The 23,852-nt window shown below is 34.3% G+C and overlaps 1 long non-coding RNA gene across 1 annotated transcript; it reads left to right on the top strand.

Moving 5' to 3' along the window:
* The first annotated feature begins 16,692 nt into the window (after positions 1-16,692).
* LOC105374719 (uncharacterized) lies at positions 16,693-20,542 on the top strand. The gene is made up of 3 exons (XR_001742632.2): positions 16,693-16,790; positions 18,751-18,858; positions 19,962-20,542. It is a non-coding gene; the product is annotated as an uncharacterized LOC105374719 (long non-coding RNA).
* The last annotated feature ends 3,310 nt before the right edge of the window (positions 20,543-23,852 follow it).

Raw genomic sequence — 23,852 nt, 5'->3', positions numbered from 1 at the left:
CTGATGTTCAAGGGCAGGAAGTACCCAGCATGGGAGAAAGGGAGAAAAATGAAGGCTGGAATACTCAGCAAGTCAATAGCTCTTTCCACCTGCTTCTGCCTGTTTTTTCTAGCTGTGCTGGTAGCCAATTTTATGATGCCTTACACATTGTGAATAGGTCTTCCTAAAGAGTCTTCCTCTCACAGTCCACTGACTCAAAAGTTAATCTCTTCTGGCAACACCCAGAAACACCCAGATATATCCAGAAAGAATACTTTGCATCCTTCAATCCAAGCAAGTTGACACTTAATATTAACTGTCACAGCAGCTCTCTGGGAGCTCTTTTTTAAAGGCACTAATCTCATTTGTGAGCACTTCACTCCAATGACCTAATTACCTCCCAGAGGCTCTACCTCCAAATAACCTCACAATGGGGAATGGGTTTCAACATATACATTTTAGAAATACAGAAACATGCAGACCGTAGCAAACACACTTTATAATGAAATAACATTTTGGTGACTCCTTGACCTTGGGGACAGGGAAGAATATAAACTGCATGGGGGACAAAGAGAACCTTTGTGGGTGATAGCAAAATTTTGTATCTTTATTGTGGCAATGTGTTCATAGGCATATAAACAGTCAAAACTAACCCATCATTCTTTAAACTGATACAGCTTCTTGCATATAAAATATAAACAAATAAATGTGATTTATATAAAACTTGCTTCATATGTTCCAGACAAAAGGATAGTTTTGGGAAAATGTGGAAAAGTACAATCATTGAAGTAGAATTTTAATTAACATAGTTGCTTAAAACTTTGAACAGAAGTATTTAAGAAAAAAATTAAGACACTTAAAAAAAAAGGAATGGTTTGCAGTGTAGAATTGAATAATCTCTATTATAATATTAATATTATTTTGCCTATAATTTATTGTAACTTGTCTTTTATACTAAGATTAAACAGCATTACGAGATCTAAACACCATTTGCCCTATGCTGCTTCTAGATTCAAACAAAAGATATTTATTTATTTATTTATTTTGAGATGGAGTCTTGCTCTGTTGCCCAGCCTGGAGTGCAGTGGTGTGATCTCGGCTCACTGCAGCCTCTGTCTCCCAGGTTCAAGTGATTCTCCTTCCTCAGCCTCCTGAGTAGCTGGGACTACAGGCGTGTGCTACCACGTTTGGCTTATTTTTGTATTTTCAGTAGAGACAGGGTTTCACCATGTTGGCCAGGATGGTCTCAATCTCCTGACCTTGTGATCCATCTGCCTCGACCTCCCAAAGTATTGAGATTACAGGCATGAGCCACTGTACCCAGCCACAAACACAAGTTATTTTAATGAATTGCAGATGTAATATTGTTTCATAAAGTGCCTATGCCAGTCACAGGTTTCTGAGCCCAAAATAAATTCTCAGTTATATGGAGACTGTGTAAAGTTCTTTCTAATTTCCTATTTATCAAAACACTTATCTATCTTACCTATTCTGATTTTATTTTGGTTGACACCATTTCTATTTTCTAAAGTGTCCAATTTATTGACTATTTTTATTGTTCAGAAGAAAAATATTAAAATGCTAAAGTGAAGGAATAGGATAATCAATGTTATCATTAAATTTGTTGGTTATATATTTGGATAGTATATTGATGACTTTCCATTTTGGGATCGAGGATTAACTCTAACATCATAGGAATTATTTCTAAGTAGACAAAGGCTTAGTAGAGTTAGAAAGGAAAGTGTCTTTAGTGTTCATGAAACCCAAACCCTATATTTCAAAGTTAACAAATATTAAATGAAGCAACCCGACAATCAAATTTCATGTTTATATATATTAACAACTAAACTATCAAAATATTATGTTTGCAATAACAAAATGAAATAATGTAGATATATACAATTCTTTAGGGATATACAATTCTCCATCTTTTGCTACAACTTTCATTACTTTTTCTTTTGTTTAGAAAAAGAGCATGAGAACAAGTAGATATTTTTAAAAGTAAAAAACAAAACAAAAAACTAAGGGAAAAGTCTCTATCTGTCAAATGTGCTTTACTCACATAACATAAATGGGAGAATAAAAGAGGAGTTCACGGGTAACCCATAGCATAAGAACAAGATAATGCACATTTTACCTGAAGAAGATTCTTAATCTTAATGTGACAGATTTTCATAATGTTTCTTATTTTTTTCAATCTTTTTACTCTCAATGACTATAAGCCAGTTTTAAGACGGGGGAGAAAATTGCTGACCAGTACTTCTCAAGTGTCATCGTGAAAGATAAAGAGAAACTGAACATTTTCTCACATGACAAAAAATTGTTCCCCATGGGAGCAGATTAAGAACACATAACAATTGAATGCAATGTGAAATCTTGCATGAAAATGTTAGTAAAAGTAAGAAAAGTAGACTAGCAAACAACTAGTACAGTATGGCTGAAATGTGTTGATTAGTTAATAGTTAATAATATCTGTTACTAATCAATTACTTTAACTTGATACAATATTATTTTATTTATTGGCTAAGAATTCTATGCTTATGCAGGATGTTAAAACAATTGGGGAAGGTGAATGAAGGTATATAAAAACGTGTTCTGTTATTTCTGAAAATGTTTGATAGTCTCTATTTCAAAATGAACAAGTTATAAAATAAAATAAAAATAAGCTGCAGATCATTTTTTACATGTGTTCTTTTTAAAGAAATTACAAATAGTGGAAAACTTTTCCAACAACCGTATTTACAAAATCTTTTAAAATACATTTTACCTTTGAACAGTGTAGGGGTTGGGAACACTGACCCCAGCACAGTCAAAAATCCATGTATAACATTTGATTCCCCAAAGATTAAATTACTAATAGCTTACAGTTAATCATAAGCCTTATCAATGACATACATAGTTAATTAGCATATAGTTTGTATGATATATAAAAATTCTACTGTATTCTCACAATAAAGTAGGCCAGAGAAAAGAAAATGTTATGAAAAAATAAATAAGGAAGAGAAAATACATGTAGTATTCATTAAATAGAAGTGGATCATCATAAAGGTCTTTATCCTTCAGCCTTCATAATGAGTAGGCTGAGGAGGAAGAAGAGGAAGGATTGGTTTTGCTGACTCAGGGATGGCAGAGGCAGAAGAAAATTTGCATTTAAGTGGACACTTGCAGGTAAAACTCATGTTGTACAGAGTTTAAATGCACTGTTTTACTGATGATAATTTTTAAAAAGACATAGATTGGCCGGGTGGTGGCTCACGCCTGTAATCCCAGTACTTTGGGAGGCGGAGGTGGGCGGATCATGAGGTCAAGAGATCGAGACCATCCTGGGTAACACGGTGAAACCCCGTCTCTACTAAAAATACAAAAACAAAATTAGCCGGGTGTGGTGGTGGGCACCTGTAGTCCCAGCTACTTGGGAGGCTGAGGCGGGAGAATGGCGTGAACCTAGGAGGCAGAGGTTGCAGTGAGCCGAGGTCACGCCACTGTACTCCAGCCTGGGCGACAGAGTGAGACTCCATCACAAACAAACAAACAAACCACATAGATCATCAGTTAAGTCAAAATTTTGTAAAGCAAAATCTGAGAAAGTAAAAGATGATTCAGTGAATTTTACAGAGACAGACATTCACAAATTTTGGAGAAGCTTTTTGGTCTAGTTATTAATCAGGTTTTTGCAACAATGGTATTTGAAGGTCATTTGAAGGTTTTATGGTACACAGGACCCCTTACTTCACAGATGCATACAATGAAACCTAGAGGACATCATGAAGGCAGGTCCATAAATACAACACCTTTCCAAATACTTGATCTCTTGTCTCATATTCTCACTTTTTAATTTCAGTAATTAATTAGAACATAACTTTAACATAGGTGCACCAACTGAAGGCTGAAAGCACAAAGAGCTATTTTCAGGAAAGACTCAGAATATTTATTGCCTTCTGCACTGTTCCACTTTCTCTTGCTGTTGCTTTGTGAATAGAAAAAAATTTGTTTTAATGTTGCAAACATTTTAATAATATTTTCTTTACAGGAGGAATTCCGGGACATAGAATAGATGGAATTCATAGTCATAGGAAAAATTGGCAAGAAAAGATTCTTTATAGCTTTTGACAGCATGGGAATGAGAAATTAGAAGGAAAACAATGATGACCAAAAAAATGCTGCTTATTATTTAGTAAACCTGGGCAGAGTGCTGCATAATTGATGCCTATGATTTAAATGTGGAAGAAGAAAATAATTCTGCCAATCCAATCTTTGCTAATTTCATCTTTTTGCTTGGCTATACTTTTAATGAATAGTTAACCTAAATTATAATCTTAGAAAAGCAGATAAATGCAAAGACCAAATGCTCTTTTTTGTGCTAAATCCATGAACCTTAGCTAAAATCCCATATCATGTAGAAAAGTATCTATGGTAAAAAAATGTCCCTCTGCCACTTATTTGTCCAGATAACCTGTTTACATATTTTTGGGTGGTATTTAGACAATTTTACAGGTTTTAACTTTATCTTCCCATTTTTATAATTGAAATAATTTTAATAAGAATATATATAAAGCAGATAAGATAATCATTTTTTCTCAGTGTCTATTGATTCAGTTATGTATTTTACTATTTGTATTTATTCACTTTTTACTGCTTATTTTATTTTTTCACTTTAGAAACAGGAAAACAACACTCTCTGGATGATGTATTCAGATAATGTAACATCAGAAGCCATGATGATCTGCATAAACTTCATTATTTTATATAAATCATTTTATAATCTACAAGAAAACTTTCAATTTCAGATTATTACATAAAATTATTACACTTGCTAAATCAAGGAAACTTCTAGGTGATTTATTCTTAAAGTTACCAATAAATTCAGTCATCAAATTAGTTCAAGATAACTTCCTAAAACTTTTCTGTGATTATTATGTCCTTATATAAGAATACCCTTGAAGTTAAATTAATAATCTCAAACATTCATAAACATTTGACAAAGATATAGCTTTTTAATTTTTTGGATAATGTGGATTGAGATGTAGTTTGTCCAGGTTTTATATCCCAGAACAATCCATATTTAAGTCAAGCTTTAGAAGAAAATTAGGGAAAACTTCTTCAAGATAACATTTTGTGCCTATGGAGTCCTATGAGAATTTAGGGAAGAGATGCCTGTTTAATTTTCTTGATCAGGTTGGAATCAGGAGCACTTATTGAGGGTGAAGTTGTAGAGAGATAGAGGAATCTTGAAGTCAGGGGTGACATTTTGCATTTGTTTTTCTTCAGACATTTGAACAAAATGGTAAGCAAAGTCTAAAAGGGGAATGTCAATGGTTCAAGTTATTTTGGAGATCATGACTTTGTAGTTTCCCATGTTATAGACCTGGAGTGGCCTTTTCTATCCAATTCTTCCAGTTTCTAGGTGTATAAACAGGGATTCTGCATTTAAATATCAATCTGAAGAGGCTTTCTGTGAGGGTAGATTAGAGTATAAGAGATTAGACAAAAACCGGTGACAGAGAAGTTCAAATTAGAACCTGTGGTTCTGAACCTAAAGGGGCAGGAAATGTTGTTATAGAAAATGTGAGACACTTTGAAAGATAATAGCTGAGATGACAGAGAGAGAGGGTTTTAAATTTAACATACTGAAGTAGAAAACCCTTGGGTGGTTATAAGATTTTTAGTGAGAAACATTGTAAAAATAACTAAAAGGGAATGGAGATGAAAATCACTTGAGTGAAAAATAATTAAGATTAGTCACCTAATTGTAGGGTTATCTCATTTTTTTTTTGACATTGAAAACTTATGGTACTGTTGAAGTATTTATAGTGAAAAAGAAGGAAGATAGTTGGGGATGAAATAACAAGGAGATTGTATTAGTTGTTTTCACACTGCTATAAAGAACTTCCTTGAGACTGGGTAATTTATAAAGGAAACAGGTTTAATTGACTCACAGTTCTGCATGGCTGGGGAGGCCTCAGGAAACTTACAATCATGGTGGAAGGGGAAGCAGGCACCTTCTTCACAAGGTAGCAGGAGAGAGAGAAGGACAAAAGAGGAATTTCCACAGAGTTATAAAAGCACCGGATCTAGTGATAACTCATTCACTATCACGAGAACAGCTCGGGGGTAAGCAGCCCCATGATCTAATCACCTCTCTCCCTTGACACGTGAAGATTACAAGTCCCTCCCACAATAGGAACACGTTGGAATTACAATTCGAGATGAGATTTGCAGAGCCAAAATTTATCAGAAATCAAAAGCGTTTTAACCTGGGAAAAAATATGTTATTTTATCCTTAAAAGGACATAAGACATTTCTAGAGAAGGCTGAAATAGTATCATTTTGAAAACACAAGTGATAAACCGTGGGAAGTTATAGGCCTTCTTCGGTGAAATCAAGATGACACAGGGTAGAATGTGTAGTTTAAAATTAGGTAAACTACATGAAAATAAGATGAATCTTCAGAAAATTCTAGGATTCAGCTAAGAAGCTGGCACTTACGATACTCTAGGTAAAAATAATACTTTGATTGTATTTACAATTGAATAAAGTTAACAGTGGGGATAGCATGGTAAGTTATAGGTGGAACCTATTTATATTATAAACCAATTACACTTAATCTTCCAAAGGAATAATATATTTCTTATACAACTAAATGATTTTGTACATCCAAATAAAAAAATTATGCTAGAGAGGTAGAAAGAGAATGTTGGGAGCCTTCATTTGATAGAAAAGTAATGTTTCCAATCAAGTTGTAGAGTGGACACAGATTATTACAGGTAGTTAGATGGCATGAGCATGGCAGGACCCCACCCACTAGGTACATCAGGTGATGGTTTGACAATTATCACACTACTTCTTCAAAGCCAGGGAGAAACAATCTCCTGATGCTCCACAGCTGTTAACACTAAATTATTGATTGAATGCAGATTCCAGGGAGAAGAAACTTCCTGGGTATGTGCACTAGGAGACAAGATGGTGACATATGACCTTCCAGGGACACTCCACTAGAAAAAAAAAAAAATGAAGAAAGCCTCAGATAGGCATGCACACAAATTTCTAAACATACTGTGTGTGTTCAATTCCCAAAGGTAGGAAGGACACTGCGCATGAGGGAAGCCCACCTTAAGGGAAGAATCATGGTAAAGAGGCAAGCCTATAAAAGCCCTAGGATCAAGGTTAAATGCCCCTTTTCTTTCTTTGACCTTCAGGTGCCCTCTTGGATCTCTTCCAAGTAAATCTTCCTTTCTTTCCTATTCTAAAGCTTTTTACATAACCTTCCACTTCTGCTCTGAAACTTGCCTTGGTCTCTCTGCTTTATGCCCCTCGGTCGAATTCTTTCTTCTGAGGAGACGAGAACTGAAATTGCTGCAGACCCATAGGAATTTGGAGTCAGTAACTCAGGGTAACTCAGATCTCCTACACCGGTAACAAGATGACATTAATTCCTTCAAATATGCTTTGCTTAACTCTTCCACACATTTTTTTCCCAAGTAAATTTATGTTATAACAGCTTCAAATACTTCTCTGGAATAACTTTCCACATTTGCCCATAGCTCTCTTTAGTATTTTGCTTACATGAGGCAGCACAAAAGTAACCACAAGGCAATCCAGTAATCTCACCTTAAATTATCTCTCACCTTTGAGGTGGTTTAAAACCACGTAGATTTATGGACTCCATCCCCATTTCCCAGTTCATTGGGACAGAGAATAAATATCACAGTAAGCATTCCACATTGCACATCAAAGCTTAAGCCCACTGTATCAGTGGCTTATTCCTTTTTTCTTTCATGTTTTTCCTATTCCTCTTGAGATTACTGTGATGAAACAACTAATAAATAAACCCTGACATTTTTATGGGCTCCATATCAAGTCTTCCTGAGTAGTTCTATGGTATGAGGTTCATTGTTTTATGAAGTTCATTCAGTAAGAAACAGGGCGTTTCCACAGTTGTGTGAGAAATCTTGAGAAATAAGCAGGTCAAAGAAGATAGCTCAGTGGTTACATCAATAGAAACAGATTGAAGAGAGAAAAGAACAGCAAAGACAGCAGTTAAATTTGATGTCTGTAGCTCAATAACATGAAGAGAAGAAACCACTCTAAGAACTTCTTGTGAATTAAAGAATAAATTGATTCTAATTTATCCCAACATGTTGAAAGAAGTAAATGGGAGAAAATATAGGATGATGACCTGGAAACAGTTAAAATAACTACAATGGTTTGTTGCTGAGATGGATGATATCCCTTAATTCCTTTCACAGTTTAAATCTGAGTCTCTGATGGAGGTTCTTACTTTATCTAATGCACAGTGGTAGCCAGAGAAGCTACTAGGGAGAGTAAAAGAAACAGAAAGACATGGGAGCATGAGCACAAAATATGTGTGTATTAATACAAAAGTTATTATAGGTCACTTTTTTTTTTTTTTTTTTTGAGACAGAGTCTCACGCTGTCACCCAGGCTGGAGTGCAGTGGCGCAATCTCTGCTGACTGCAAGCTCTGCCTCCTAGGTTCAACGTTTCGCCTGCCTCAGCCTCCCAAGTAGCTGGGACTACAGGCACATGCCACCACGTCCGGCTAATTTTTTGTATTTTAGTAGAGACAGGGTTTCACCATGTTGCCCAGGCTGGTCTTGAACTCCTGAGCTCGTGATCTGCCTCGGCCTCCCAAAGTGCCAGGATTACAGGCATGAGCCACCACGCCCGGCCTTAAAGGTAACTTTTTATTGGAAAGTTTGCATTACGTTGACTACTTCTAATGAATAAATTAATTTTTAAAATACAACTCTAGTTAGGTGAGTGTTAGGGTATTGATATTATAAATATGATAAGCAATATAGAATGTTAGTGCAATTTTGGAAGTGGGTTTTATGACAATTAGTTCACATATATTAAAATTTTATTTGAAGTATTAAGAGAATCACAAAGGTCTGCAGATAATGGAATAAAGAACTGGAGTTTGGGGGTGGTCAGGAATATTTAGGATTGGGGAATAAGGAAGAATTTATTGGGAGTGGCATCTGAACTGTGTTTTGACTTTAGGTATGTGTAATGGAAAATCGAAACCAATCATGGGGCATAAGGAGGAATATTACATAGGTCAGATTTAAAGAATGTCTCTGAGGGAAAATAGTGGAAAGTTCTAAAGGAAGGTAGGTTAGATTCAGAATTGTTTACTTAAATGACACAGTAATGAATTTTAACTTCATTCCCTACACTATGATATAAAACTACAAATACATTAGCCTGTACACCACCTACCCTCCCATTTATGAATGGTTATACTTTAATATAAAGTCTTTATTTCTAGCAGAGATATAATGAAAGACATTCAAACTTGAAATCTGTGTATTAGAAAATGTGTCTGTTATGTTCTTCAATATTTGTATCAGATAATGAACTACATTACATTTTTTTTGAATTTAGTGAAATGAAAAATGTCTCTGGAAGATCATTTATAAATTATTTTTCTTAAAATAAAGACAAGCGTTTGGCTTTTCAGCCATGGCTGAATTCCTCTTCCATCTGATTCTTTAAAAAAAAGGTTTTTAATAAAAAAGGATCTTTTTTTTTTTCATTTTATTGATTTCAGAGAGTTGTTCCCCAAAGCAATTATTGTGTATGTAAATTTTTCAGATAGTTGTTTTCTCTCACCCTATACACTGTGCTTTTAATTTATGCATTTTTCCTCCTAATGCATGTAGATAATATATACCAAATTCATAGACTTAGGAATGAAGAAGTATGATATAACACAGAAAATTCCACAGAAATAATTCTGGCTTTGTGGTTTTTATAATTCTAAATTTTGTCTTGAGGTAAAAGATGTAGAAGAGTCATGGTTATTTTAGCTGATTTCTGCTCATGTCTGGATACAAATAGAAAAAAAAAATGTACTAGGGAAGAGGTTAGAACCATTACTATTGGTGGATCAATTAGATGTACCTTACAATACAACCTAGATAGGTGGGGATCTGAGAGCAGACTGTGAGTTGCTCAAAATTAGAATTGAAAAAGCAAATTCACTCATACCACCATGTAAAAAATTGGTGACAATTTATTTATTTTTTATATTGAGCTGACATGCAATAATTGTACATAATTGTGGGTTACAGAGTGATATTTTGAAACAAATATACAATATGTAATGATCAAATCAAGGTAATTAGCATATCTGTCAACCCAAGTACTTATCATTTCTTCATGTTGTTAACATTCAAATTCCTCTCTTCTAGCTTTTGGAAAATATACAGTAAATGATTGTTAACAATGTTTACCTTACACTGCTACAAAACACTGGAAGTTTTTTCTTCCATCTAGCTGTAACTTTGTGTTCATTAACCAAATTCGTCTTATAATCCCCTCCCACTAACTTGCCCAACTTCTAATGACCACAATTCTATTCTCTATTTCTATGAGCTCTTTAAAACAACAACAACAACAACAACAAAAAGACTCCCATATCCAAGTGAAAACATGCAGTGTATTAGTCCTTTTAACTGGGGTGTGATGATTTCTCATTGTGGTTTTTATTGCATTTCTCTGATGATTAGTGATGTTGAGCATTTTTAATTTACTTCTTGGTCATTTATATACCTTCTATTTTTTTGAAACGGGGTCTTGCTCTGTCCCCTAGGCTGGAGTGCAGTGGTGCGATCTCGGCTCACTGCAAGCCCCGCCTCCCGGGTTCACACTATTCTCCCTCCTCAGCCTCCCGAGTAGCTGGGACTACAGGCGCCCGCCACCACGCCCAGCTACTTTTTGTATTTTTAGTAGAGACGGGCTTTCACTGTGTTAGCCAGTATGGTCTCGATCTCCTGACCTCGTGATCTGCCCGCCTTGGCCTCCCAAAGTGCTGGGATTACAGGCTTGAGCCACTGTGCCCAGCCTATATGCCTTCTTTTGATAAATGTTTATTAGATTCTTAGCCAATTAAAAAAATCTATTTTTTTTCTCTCTTTTTTTGGCTAAGTTGTTTGACTTACATGTACATTCTGGATATTAGTCCCTTGTCAATGAATAGATTGCTTGTGTTTTCTCCCATTTTACAGGTTGTCTCTTCACTCTGTTGTTTTCTTTGCTGTTCAGAGCTTTTTAGTTTGATGTGGTCTCATTTATCTATTTTAAGTTTTGTTGCCTGAGCTTTTGAAGTCTTACCCATAAAATCTTTGCTTAGACCAATTTTCTGAAGCATTTCCTCTTTGTTTTCTGATACCAGATAATTTCAGGTCTTATGCTTAACTCTTTAATCCATTTTGAGTTGATTTTTGTGTTGAGATGGAGATCTATAATAGTTTCACTCTTCAGCATAGGAATATTTAGTTTCTGTACCACCATTTATTGAAAACAATGTTCCTTCCCCAAATCATGTTCTTGGTACCTTTGTCAAAAATCAGTTGGTTAAAAAGCATAGATTTATTTCTGGGTGCTCCTTACGTTTTATTGGCCTGTGTGTTTGTTTTTCTACAAAAACCGTGCTTCTTTGGTAACAATAAATTTGTAGCATATTTTGAAGTCAAGTAGTATGATGCCTCCATCTTTCTTCTTTTTGCTCAGTATTGCTTTGGCTATTCAGAATCTTTTATGTTCTCATAGGAATTTAGTATTGTTTATTTCTGTGGAAAAAAATAGATATTTCATAGGTCTTTCATGTAATCTGTAGTTGCTTTGGATAGTGTGTTCAATTTATCAATATTAGTTCTTCCAGTGCATGAGTATGGGATGTTTTCCCATTTTTTGTGTGTATTCGCTTCAGTTCCTTTTCATCAGTGTTTTGTAGTTTCTGTTGTAGAGATCTTTCATCTCCTTGGTTAAATTTATTTCCAGTATTTTATTTTGTTTTGTAGATATTGTAAATGTGATTGCTTTCTTGATGATTTTCATTATTGGTTTACAAAAATGCAAATAAATTTTGTATGTGATTCTGTTTCAGGCAAATTTACTGAATTTGTTTATCAGTTCTAAGAGTTTTTTGCTGGTCTTTAGGTTCTATGTAAAAGTATGATGTATGAAGAGGGAAAATTTGAATTCTTCTTTTCTAATTTGGATGCTTTTTTATTTCTTACTTTTGCCTAGTTGCTCTGGCTAGCACTTCCAGTACTATTTTGAATAACAGTGGTAAAATTGAACATCTTTGTTTTGTTGCAGCTCTTGAAGAAAAGGCTTTCAGTTTTTCCCCATTCAGTATGATGTTAGCTTAAGTTGGTTATATGTAGCCTTTATTATGTTGAGGTATATTCCTTCTATACCAAATATATTGAGAGTTTTTATCATGAAGTGGTATTGAATTTAATCAAATGATTTTTTGCATCTATTGAAATGATCATATGCTTTGTGTCCTTTATTGTATTGTGATGAATTACATCTGATATTTATATGTTAAACCATTCTTCCATTCTTGAAATAAATCCTACTTGATCATGGTGTATTATCTTTTTGATGTGTTATTGGACTTAGTTTGTTAATATTTTGTTGAGGATTTTGCAGTTATGTTCTTCAGGGATATTAGCCTTCAGTTTTTGTTGTTGTTGTTCTGTCTTTGTCTGATCTTAGCAATGGCAGCCTCATAAAATGAGATATGGATAATTTTTTTAAAATAGTTTCAGAAGAATTGGTGCAAGTTCTACCTTAAAAGTTGGGTTTAATTTAGCAGTAAACCCATGTGGTCCTGGCATTTTCCTTTTGGGGAAACTTTTTATTATGAATTCAATCTAGTTACTGGTTATTGTTCTGTTCATGTTTTCTATTTCTTTCTGATTTAATCTTGATAGGTTTCACGTGTACAGAAAATAATTTTCTCTTGGGTTTTTAATTTTTTGGCATATAGTTGTTCTCACTAGTGTCTAATGATCCTTTGAATTTCTGAAGTATCAATTGTAATGTCCCTTTTTTCACTTCTGATTTTATTTATTTGGGTCTTCTCTCCTTTTTTCTTAGTCAAAATAGCGGTTTGTCTTTTTTTATATATTTCAAAAACCAACTTTTTGTTACATTGATTTGTTCACATTATATGTTAGTCTACATTTTGTTTAGTTCTGCTCTAATCTTTATTGTTTCTTTCCTTGTACTAATTTTGAGTTTGGTTTATTCTTCCTTTTCTAGCTTCTTAAGGTGCATTGTTCACTTATTTGAATTATTTCTGCTTTTTTGATGTACATTTTTATTGCTATAAACTTCCCCCTTAGCACTGCTTTTGCTGTATCCCATAAGTTTTGAAATGTTTTGTTTCTACTTTCATTGATTTCAATCCATTTTTTTATTCTTTTTTGATTTCATCATTGAAACACTGAACATTTAGGGACATATTATTGAAACTTTCATGTGTTTATACAGTTTCCAGAGTTGTTCTTGTTATGTTATTAATTTCTAGTTTTTTAAAATTGTGGTTTGAGAATATACATTTTATTAGTTTAAGTTTTTAATGTAATTGAGATTTCTTTTGTGGTCTAACATATGGTCTATGTGTGTTTATGAGAAGAATGTGTGTTCTGCAGCTATTGGATGAAATGTTCTGTACTTGTTAGGTTAATTTGGCCTATAGTGCAGTTGAAATCCAATGTTTCTTCATTGATTTTCTGTAAACATGATCTGTCCAATGCTGAAAACGGGGTGTTGCAGTTCTCTACTATTTTGTAGTTTGGTCTATCTCTCTCGTTTGCTCTAAAAATATTTACTTCATATATCTGGATGCTTCAGTCTTGGGTGCATAAATTACAGTTGTTATATCTTCTTCCTGAGTCATGCCCTTTATCATTGCATAATAACCTTCTTTGTCTCTTTATTGTGGTTTTTGCCTTAAAGTCTATTTTGTCCAATATAAGTAGAGCTCCTACTTTATGCTGCTGTTTTCTGTTTGTGTGGAGTATCTTTTTCCATTCTTTACTGTTGCTCTGTCTGTCCTTACATAGAGAGAAATAAGTGTCCTGTAAGCAGCTTATAGTTGGTTCGGTGTTTTTCATCCACTGAGCCAATCTATATATTTTAATTGGGAATGTCAATCATTTAAATTTTCAATTGTTATTTGTAGGTGAAGACTTACTTTCATCATTGTGTTAGTTGGTTTCTGATTTTCTTTTATATCCTTTATTTTTTCTTCCTCTCTTATTGTTTAGTGTTGTAATTTGGTGGTATTTGTAGTGATAACATGATTCCTTCCTGTTTTTTATTTGTGTATCTGCTCTAAGTTTTACACTGTCATGTTTACACAGTGATAGATATTGTCCTTTTGCTTTGAGATGTAGGATTCCCATAAGCATTGTTTTGTACGTCATGATAATGGTGATGAATTCTTTGTTCTTGTTAGTCTGAGAAAAACTTTATTTCTTCTTTATTTCTGAAGTTAATCTTTGCTGTGTATAGTATTTTTAGTTGACAGAGGGGGTTTTTTTTTTTTTTTTTCTTTTTTCCACAAATACATTATGCCATTCTTGCCTGGCCTGCAAGGATTTTGCTGATAAAGGCTGTTAGTCTAATGGAGATTCCCTTATATGTGATTTGATACTTTGTTCTTTGCTGTCTTTAGAATTCTCTTTGACTTTGAAAGATTGATTATAATGTGCCTCACAGAGGAACTTTTTGAGTTAAATCCATTTGTAAGTCTTTCATCCGTATTAGTCAAAAGCTGCACTAGCCCCTAACAAGAGAGTTAGCTTATCCTTTGAAGTTTGAAGTTAGGTATTCACTTCTCTAGCTATGAAAGTTCTAGATGGCATCTTCTTCCAATAAAAGGCCGTTTTGTCTACGTTGAAAATCTGTTGCTAGTGTAACTACTTTCATCACTTATCTTAGCCAGATAGACTTTCAGGATAACTTGTTGTAGCTTCTACATCAGCATCTGCTACTTTACCTTGAACTTTTATATTATGAAATGTTTTTTTCCTTGAATTTTATTTACCAATCTTTGCTAGCTTCAACTTTGTGTTTGCAGATTCATCACCTCCCTCAGCATTCAGAGAATCTAAGAGAATCTGTTTTAGCCTTCTACATGCCTTCCTCACTGAGCTTAATTATTTCTACCTTTTGATTTAAAAATGAGAGATGTTTTAATTTAAAAAATGAGAGATGTTCTTTGTTTCACTTGAACACTTAGAGGCCATCGCAGGGTTATTATTCAGCATAATTTTAATTTTTTTGTGTCTCAGTGAATAGGAAGTTTTGAAGAGAGGAAGATATAGGGGAATTGCTAGTCAGTGGAGCAGTCAGAATACACACACTCTTTTTTCAATTAAGTTCACCACCTTATATGAGTATGATTCATACTGCCCCCAAACAATAACAATGGTAACATCAAAGACGCTAATCATAGATTCCCACAAAATATATAATAATAATACAGAAGTTTGAAATAATGTGAGAATTACTAAACTGTGGCACTGGGACACCAAGTGAGCACATACAGCTGGAAAAGTGGCAATGATAAACTCACTCAGTGTGGGGTTGCCATAAACATTCACTTTGGAAAAAATTAAATAACTCCATGGTGCAATAAATGAAGCACAATAAAACGAGGTATGGCTGCACCAGCTAACTGTGGTCTATAGTTTAGTAAGTTGGGTGATAAAATCTTTGAGAAGCCATGCTTTCCATTGGAACTACAACCTACTCCAGACAGAGAAAGAAGATAATAAACTTCTACAAAATACAGATACAGCCAACCACTTATGCTGAAGAGGATGACATAGAAAAAAAGGCAGATGGGGAATTAAAAGTTTTTGTTTATTTTAATCTTTCCTTGTTCATCAGTAAATCAAATGTAGAAGATACTGGTAGAATGTGCATATGTCAAGAAATGAAATAAAAACAGTTGAGATAGTTGCAGCATCCCCCCTGTTCTTGTAGTTAGCTCATTGGATCTGATATTGCATGATACAAATGAATGATAAAATCCTTGGTAATAATTCTAATTTAAATTTTCTTTACTTACAATTATATTAAATAGCTAAAAAATTACCATTATAAGGTTAAGAAAGAGAGACCAGGATATACATTTAAAGGTTTCATATTTTAGTATATTTAATGTACTTTTTCTGCTTTTCTGGCTTTTTAAAGAGATCTCAATTTTTAGTTAGCTTTGGTCCCTCCAAATTGTATAATGAACTTAGTGTCACATGAATGTGTATTTTAAAAGATGAGAAAAATATTTGTCTTTTTGATCTTTAATTTTATGTGCCAATTGGATTGAGTCAAGTAACTTCAGAGTAAACATTATTTCCGGATGTGTCCATAAGGGAGTTTCCCAGTGAGAGTAGCATTTGAATCAGTGGACTAAATAAAGGTGGCCTCCCTGTTGTTGGTGGGTATTTTTTTTTTTTTTTTTTTTGAGACGGAGTTTAGCTTTTGTTGCCCAGGCTGGAGTGCAATGGCGCAGTCTTGGCTCACTGCAACTTCCGCCTCCCAGGTTCAAGCAATTCTCCTGCCTCAGCCTCCCAAGTAGCCATGATTACAGGCACTCGCCACCATGCCTGGCTAATTTTTGTATTTTTAATAGAGACAGGGTTTCACCATGTTGGCCAGGCTTGTCTTGACCTCCTGACCTCAAGTGATCCTCCCGCCTCGACCTCCCAAAGTGCTGGGATTACAGGCATGAGCCACCATGCCCAGTCAGTGGTTATTTTTAAGGATCTGAATATAACAAAAGACAGAGGAAGGAAAACTTTGCACTTTTCTCCTGCGTAATTGCTTGAACTGAGTTATCTCATCTAAGATTTACATCATTTGTTCCTTTGTTTCTCAGGCCTTTGAGCTTATACTGAATTATACCACCAGCTTTCCTAGGTCTTGAAGCTTACAGACAGCAGATCTTGGGACTTCTCAGGCACCATAATCAATCATGTGAGTCAATTCTTCATAATACAGTTGACCTTTGAACCATTCAGGAGTTAGGAGCACTGACCCCCAGCACAGTAAAAAATCTGCATAATAATTTTGACTCCCCCAAATCTTAACTACTAATATCCTACTGATTACCAGAAGCCTTACTGATAACATAAACAACTAACTCATATTTTGCATGTTATATATCTATTATATACCATATTCTTACAATGAAGTGAGCTAGAGAAAAGGAAATGTTATTAAAAATTATGAAAAAGAGAAAATATATTTACTACTTATTAAGTGGAAGTGGATCATCATAAAGGCCTTCATCCTCATATTTTTCACATTGAGTAGGCCGAGGACGAGGATAAAGAGGAAGGATTTCTCTTGCTGTACTAGGGGTGGCAGAGGTAGAAAAAAAATTGCATATAAGTGGACCCATGCTGTTAAACTCATGTTATTCAAGGGCCAACTGTACATCAATAATGTATATGTATAGGTATTATATATAATGTTATATATGATAAACTATTTGTGCGTGTGTGTGTGTGTGTGTGTTCTGTTTTTCTAATGGACAGTGACAATACAGATTTTTGGTTTGGTTTCTCTGAAAAACCCTGACTAATATAGTCCAAATATGAAATATATATTTCTAATTAACAAAAACTTTATTTCAGCAAACAGAGAAACCATATTTCAGCAAAACCAAGGGAACTGATTTTCCTATGAAATTATAATATAATGGCTTAGGATAGAACTTCTGTAAGAATTACCTAGAAAACACAGAGGTAATAAAATTGCGGTGGTATATTTACCTGTACTTTTAAAAATTGCCATTCTTTCAAGCAGCAAAAGTCCCCCACTTTACATTATATTTCATTAATCTCTTTCTAAAAAGAACTTGAAATACGTCAATTGCTTTAGCAGAATATTATACATGGAATCTAGAGGATTATTTGAATATATTCATATAAATTTGTTCATATATTTATGTTTTTGTCAACAATTGGTAATAAAATGAATAAGCAATCTTATATTAGTATCCCAGTTGTAACAATCAAATCAAATTAATAGATGTGGTTCATATCACTTCAATTAAGATAGTAACATAGAGTATTGTTCGCATACTAAGACTTCATTGCCAAGGTAAGGAAATAAGATACCTTGATATTGTTTTTGAATTTTACCCAAAAGATATACAATTTTCTCATGTCCTAGATAAAGAAAAGTCAAAGTAACAGACCCATTCGAGATTTACAGAGGAAGACAATCTTTTCTTCTCACCTTGGTACCAAATAGACAGTAAAAGTCTGCATAAAGATGTTTCCATTAAGTCTATTGAAATCAATTTTGTTTTAAAGTTTAATGTGTTTTCTTATGTGATAAGATTGTTGACCAGTGATAAGATTTTCTAGCAGAGTAAAGTTTTAAGAAAAACAGGTATTGACTTTCAAAGACTCTTCCTGGCTGTCTTCTATTGTATGAGTATCTTCACGTAGAATCTCAAAGATAAGAAGAAAAGAAGCAATTATTGAAGATATAGTAGATTTTTTTAACTAGCTAACAAGCTGTGCAAGTAGTGGAATATCTTGAAACTAACAATGAGAAGAGGAAGTCATTATCTGAGATAGCTAATCAAAGTGACCACACTTCTAAACTGACCACGCTTAATTAGTTATGGAAAGCATATTTTTCAACCCGCTATGTTAACTTTTACAGAAAAAATGTCATTGAGTTAGGACCCTATGGCACATAAGAATATTTTTTACAACAGTTAAACAAAGCATCTAGTAAAAGTAAAATTGCATAAATTTTGTAGGTTTTATTACTGAGGGATAGCAGGATAATGCAGTTATAATGTGAATTTGTTACAAGAGGGCAAATGTAAAATTGTTGAATATATACAGAAATAAACGATTTAATTATCATCTTCACTTTTTGTTTTAATTTGTATTTCATATGTCTTTTCTAACAGAGATAAATGATCCAATGATTCGGAACTTGAAAAGTGGTAGCTTTATGAATTCTCCTTAAGAAGAAACCTGTGCCCCGATCTTGCCTACTCACCCAAAGGCACTGTGAGGTAAACAACAGGAGTGTGGATGGAAAATCAATGGAAAGTGAAAAGTATGGAAATTATAAAACCTCAAACACATTTAAGAAAAATACTAAGTAAAGGAATATGGGTATTTGGTCTAGGGACACAGACATGTAATTTATTTCAATATTAAAAAATTCACTTTCCCATGCATGATGTATAGTGACCGCCATATGAGTTTTTAAAAAGGTGCAGGATTTTTTTTTCTTGGCTTGATATACAGAAGAAAAGAAAACAAAAATTATGATAACCTTCTGATGCTAATTGACTGTTAATAATAAGCTTGTATATCAGGAAATTCATTCCACTCTTTTTGTGCTTAGAAACACAGGAAAACCACATTCCCAACACTTCTTTGAAGTCAGTTTGCAGGCCATGCAACCAAGTTCTGGACAATGGAATATAAAGAAAGTGAAGCAAGTCACTTCCAGTTGGGCCTTTAGAAAATTCTGTGTGCTACCTCCGTTCCCTTTCCCCCTTCAAAGCTTCCTTGGAAGCACTGAGTTAGATGGTAAAGTTACAAGAAGGAAGAAGTCACAGAATCATCGTTTAATGGAGAAAACTGTGGAAAGCTGTGAAGTGATCAACAAATAAAACATTAATGAGCAAAGACACAGGGATTTAGCAGTTTATTGCCACAGGATAGTTTAGAATATTCTGATCAGGAAATAACTTTATACAGGAGTGAGGTGCTACACCATGAAAAATCTAACTTACATTGCAAAACATTATTTTCATGTCTCATATAGGAAGGCAGCAATTATAAAAGGGACTGCAAGTCAAGACATGTAAGAGACTGACAAATATAAAGACAACCTACTGTAAATTGGGAGGCAGATGACATACTTACAAAACAGAGAATTAAGAAAAATGATAGTATGTATTTGTAGCCATTGGTGAATTTTTAAATATATGAGAAGAAATATTAGAGAGACTCCAGAAATTCAAGGCCTTCCAAGAGTAAGAGAGAATATGTCTGACATAAGATTTTATACAAAATAGGCCAGTAAAAGAATCTTGGTCTAGTAAAGTGACCCCCAATGAAAGATCAAGTTAATGATGGCCCTTCTATCTTTTTTTTTTTCCAGATAGCATCAAAGGAACAGCTAGTAAGAGACACAGAGCCAGAAATCAGGGAAGTAAAATACACTTGACATCTACATTCGGAAAGAAATTTTAGGAGGCAGAAGCAAATGGATCAGAAGCTGCTTATATTTTTGCAAGATTACCAAAGAAACCATTGGTGGAGAAAGTTCTGTGACCAACTTGTCTGAGTCTAGTAAGACTGAACGCTCACACACAAGTTTCATGAAGTGGGTTTGATACTTACAGATAAGCAGCAAGGACCAACAGAAGCTGATGATCTATGGTGAACTTTTTCCCAAGGCTCCGGAAAGCTGCCTAAAGTAGATGGAGTCTTCTCTGTGTGTGCCCCACTGGTCCTGCAGTTGAAGGATCCGGTAAAGCAGCCTGCCCTGGGTTTTACACTCCAGAGGAACGTGATTCGCTGGACTAAAGCATTGAAGTGCATCCTGTTTCCGGGGGGCACTGGAACAGAGCCTGGTCTGTTCTAGCCAGTCCCTTTCTATCTCAGGATGTTGCATTCCCAGTACATTCTACAGTTATTCTTGAGAACTATAATCAAATAAGCAGGGAGAACTGGGTAAGTCCAAGGCTTATCTATACAAGCCTTTAAATATTCAAGACCAAAAAAAAAAAAAAAAAAAAAAAAAGCCTTGGTTCTTATCTTTCTTTCAGGAAAGCAGAGGCTCATCGTGGAACCCTCAAGGAGCATGTGGTCGTCTTCATCCCTCAGTTTATAAATGGCCAAGGAGAGTAATGCAACAAAAACTTCTCAGACTTAAGAGCCAGAGTTCCTAAAGAACCGTGGACAAAGGGTTCTGTCTAGTGGGCAGAATTCATCCAGCGAAGGTGCTTACTGCACTCCCAGCATGTGCTTGGGAACTTTATTAAAATTCCTTCCTATTGAGATTTAAATTGCTGTCCAGAATTATACAATATAATGAATGGGGGCATTCATTATGTGTATTCTATGCCTTCTCCATCATTGCATATTCAGTCCTCGTGCTAGAGAGAGGCAGATAATCTACCTTTTAAATTTATAGGTCTCCTAACTACAGAGGGTCACATCTGGATCTGATGGTACCTACAGAACTTGGACTCTGAGCGACAATCAGTGACCAGGTGTGACTTTATATTATCTCTGTCAGGGAAGGGTGAGAGTGTTCAGTGTGTGAACATAGAATAAAATGGTCTGGTGACCAAAAGGCTCTATTAAAGATAATATGAGATGTTCAAAGCACTGGCTATTTTCTTGGGAACAAAAGTTGAACTTCTAAATCTTTCTCACAGATTGTAGACCAAAGGAATGAATTCTGATTGGCAGAATATAAGCCTACGTAATATAAAAAAGACTTCCAGGTTTGGCCCTCTGAGTCTTGACTCATTACACACCATCTCACAGCCTTATTTTGCCTTTCAGCAGGAAATTTGGAACCTAGGTTTTCCCAACCTACATCTACAAAATGGAATGGGTCTGATTCACAAGTTTTCAGAGAAAGAAGCCAACCTTAATCAGACTGTGATATGATGAGGAAATAAAAATTGCTGTGCTAATCAACTGATACTGGGAAGCATGTTTATTATAATAACATAGTCTATGCTTAACTTTTCGAAGAAACTAATGATCTGGAATATCGATAAAAAGAAAAAAGAAAGAAAGCAAAAGGACAGAAAGTTTTAGTGAGAATATGTCACTAAAAGAAAAATACAAAAATCTCCAGGTAATTGTTCTTGTCTGTCACTATAATCAAAGTGGTATTTCACCCCCCATCTGTTGTCCCTGCTTTGATGAGTGAGAATAGAAGAGCAGTTCCTGGTTACATGTTGGCAACAGGAGGGTATAAATATCAAATTGCCTTAAGCACTGGCAAAGGCTTAAGAGTCCATCCTAAATTGAGGGATTATCCAGTACCCTGTTTAGAATGGAAATAAATCCTTGCACAGTACTTTCAACTCAATAACTGAAAAAATGCAGAGAGCAAATTCAACAATTTGTATTACCAACAGCCAGCTGAGTCCAACTTTCTAAATCCATTGGAAAACAGAAAAGCAGAAAAGCAGAAAAACAGGCATCAGTAACTGTCCTAAAAAGTGAAGGACTCAGGAGGCTGAGGCAGCAGAATCACTTGAACCCAGGAGGCAGAGGTTGCAGTGAGCCGAGATGGTGCCACTGCACTCCAGCCTCGGCGACAGAGCGAGACCGTCTCAAAAATAAAAAAAAAAAAAAAATGTGAAGGACTGAGGGAAAGAAACAGAATAGACCATAATGAGTCAGATGCGAGATAAGAGAAACAGGGCCCGGAACATATGCCCTCAGATAGAATAAGAACAATATCAAAGATGAAAATCCAAGAAAACACCTTGAGGAAAATAAGATGATAGTAATACTAAATATATATGTTAAAGGACTAATTTTAATGAGATACCTTCACATAGGTAGGAAGAAAAATAAATTCAATGTGCAGATATTCCTTATGTATATACCAATGAAAGTAAAGAGACAGATAAAATAAGTCAGGCAAATGCTAACATAAGAAAATAGAGTCACATTATTTATTTTGTAATTTGATATCTGAATATTAAAAACTTACACCTTCAAAGTGCAGATATAACTCCCATGAATGTTGACACACTAAGTAACAGTAAAATACATTAAGCCAATTAGAACTGTAAGAAAAAGGAAAGCAACACAGAATAAAAACAAGACTCAGTAGGTGATCTTTATCTAGAATCAGAACAATTAAAATAAAATAATGACTGGAGAAAAACTGAAGTAAGTACTATGTTTAATGCCTGTAAGCAAATATACGTATTTTGAATTGTGACATGATTAAAAAAGAACATATGATTTTCAAGTGTTCATATAACACATTGAAAAATTAAGCATAAACTCCCCGAAATTCTTATACCTAAATGTCATAAAATAAGTACCAATCATACCAACTACTTTTCTGAACATAATGCAGTGAGATCTATAAAACAACTGATATTTTGTGGCTGTTGTTTACCGCATCAAAAGAAGACTAATAAAGCAATGTATTTACCCTGTGAATGTATATGTTCAAATAATTTATATAGACTGTACACATAATATTCTTTTAATTTTCTTTATATTTCTTCTTATATATCCATTTTCTAAAATAGTGAGTTATGCTTTTATTCACTAGATTTTTTTCTGTTTAAATTTGTTTAGGTATTATATTTGATATTTTATTAATTTCTGTATTGATGTTTATCATTTACTTCTTCCAGTTTTCAAATATTTTATGATTAAAATTATAGATCATTGTTTTAAGACCATCTTATGTAAATAGCAAAGGTTTGATTTGTAATGATTTTATAAATATACATATTTTAATATAATCAAATTGTTAATATGCTGGTCTACACATTTGCCTTTAGTTTCCATTTTTACCCAAGATACGCTAGACAAATATTTTCATGTTATTCTAAAGATTAGAATTTTTATTTTGCTGTCAATAGCTCTTTAATATCTTTCATATGTTCTATCTACCTATATCTCTGTGTGATCTTTGTTAAACCCATATTCTGAGGTTTAGATTTCCCAACCACCCAATACTGGTGGAAATTCTGATAGTTTTTGAAACCATGTCTCAAGACTTGTCCCATGGAAAATAAAGGAAATCTCTATTCTGTCATTGGCTGGGAACTGCTCTAGGGTGTTTACATCCCTGGCAATTTTTATTTTTCTCATGTTGAGCCTGAAAGAAAGTCACCGATCATGAAATGCGAGCATGGACAGGGACAATTAGTCCAAAGGGAAAAATTAGAGACACTGACTGTTCCATTATACGTAACTATATACCTAGTCACTCAATATAATGAAGAGTTTCATAATTAGTCAAAATGAAATTGAACCATATTAATTCTACATG

The sequence above is a fragment of the Homo sapiens genome, chromosome 5 (genome assembly GCF_000001405.40).
Source record: "Homo sapiens chromosome 5, GRCh38.p14 Primary Assembly".
In the NCBI taxonomy this organism is placed as follows: Eukaryota; Metazoa; Chordata; class Mammalia; order Primates; family Hominidae; genus Homo; species Homo sapiens.
The sequence above is the reverse complement of the archived record's forward strand: the minus strand, read 5'-3'. Positions and strand labels throughout refer to the sequence as shown.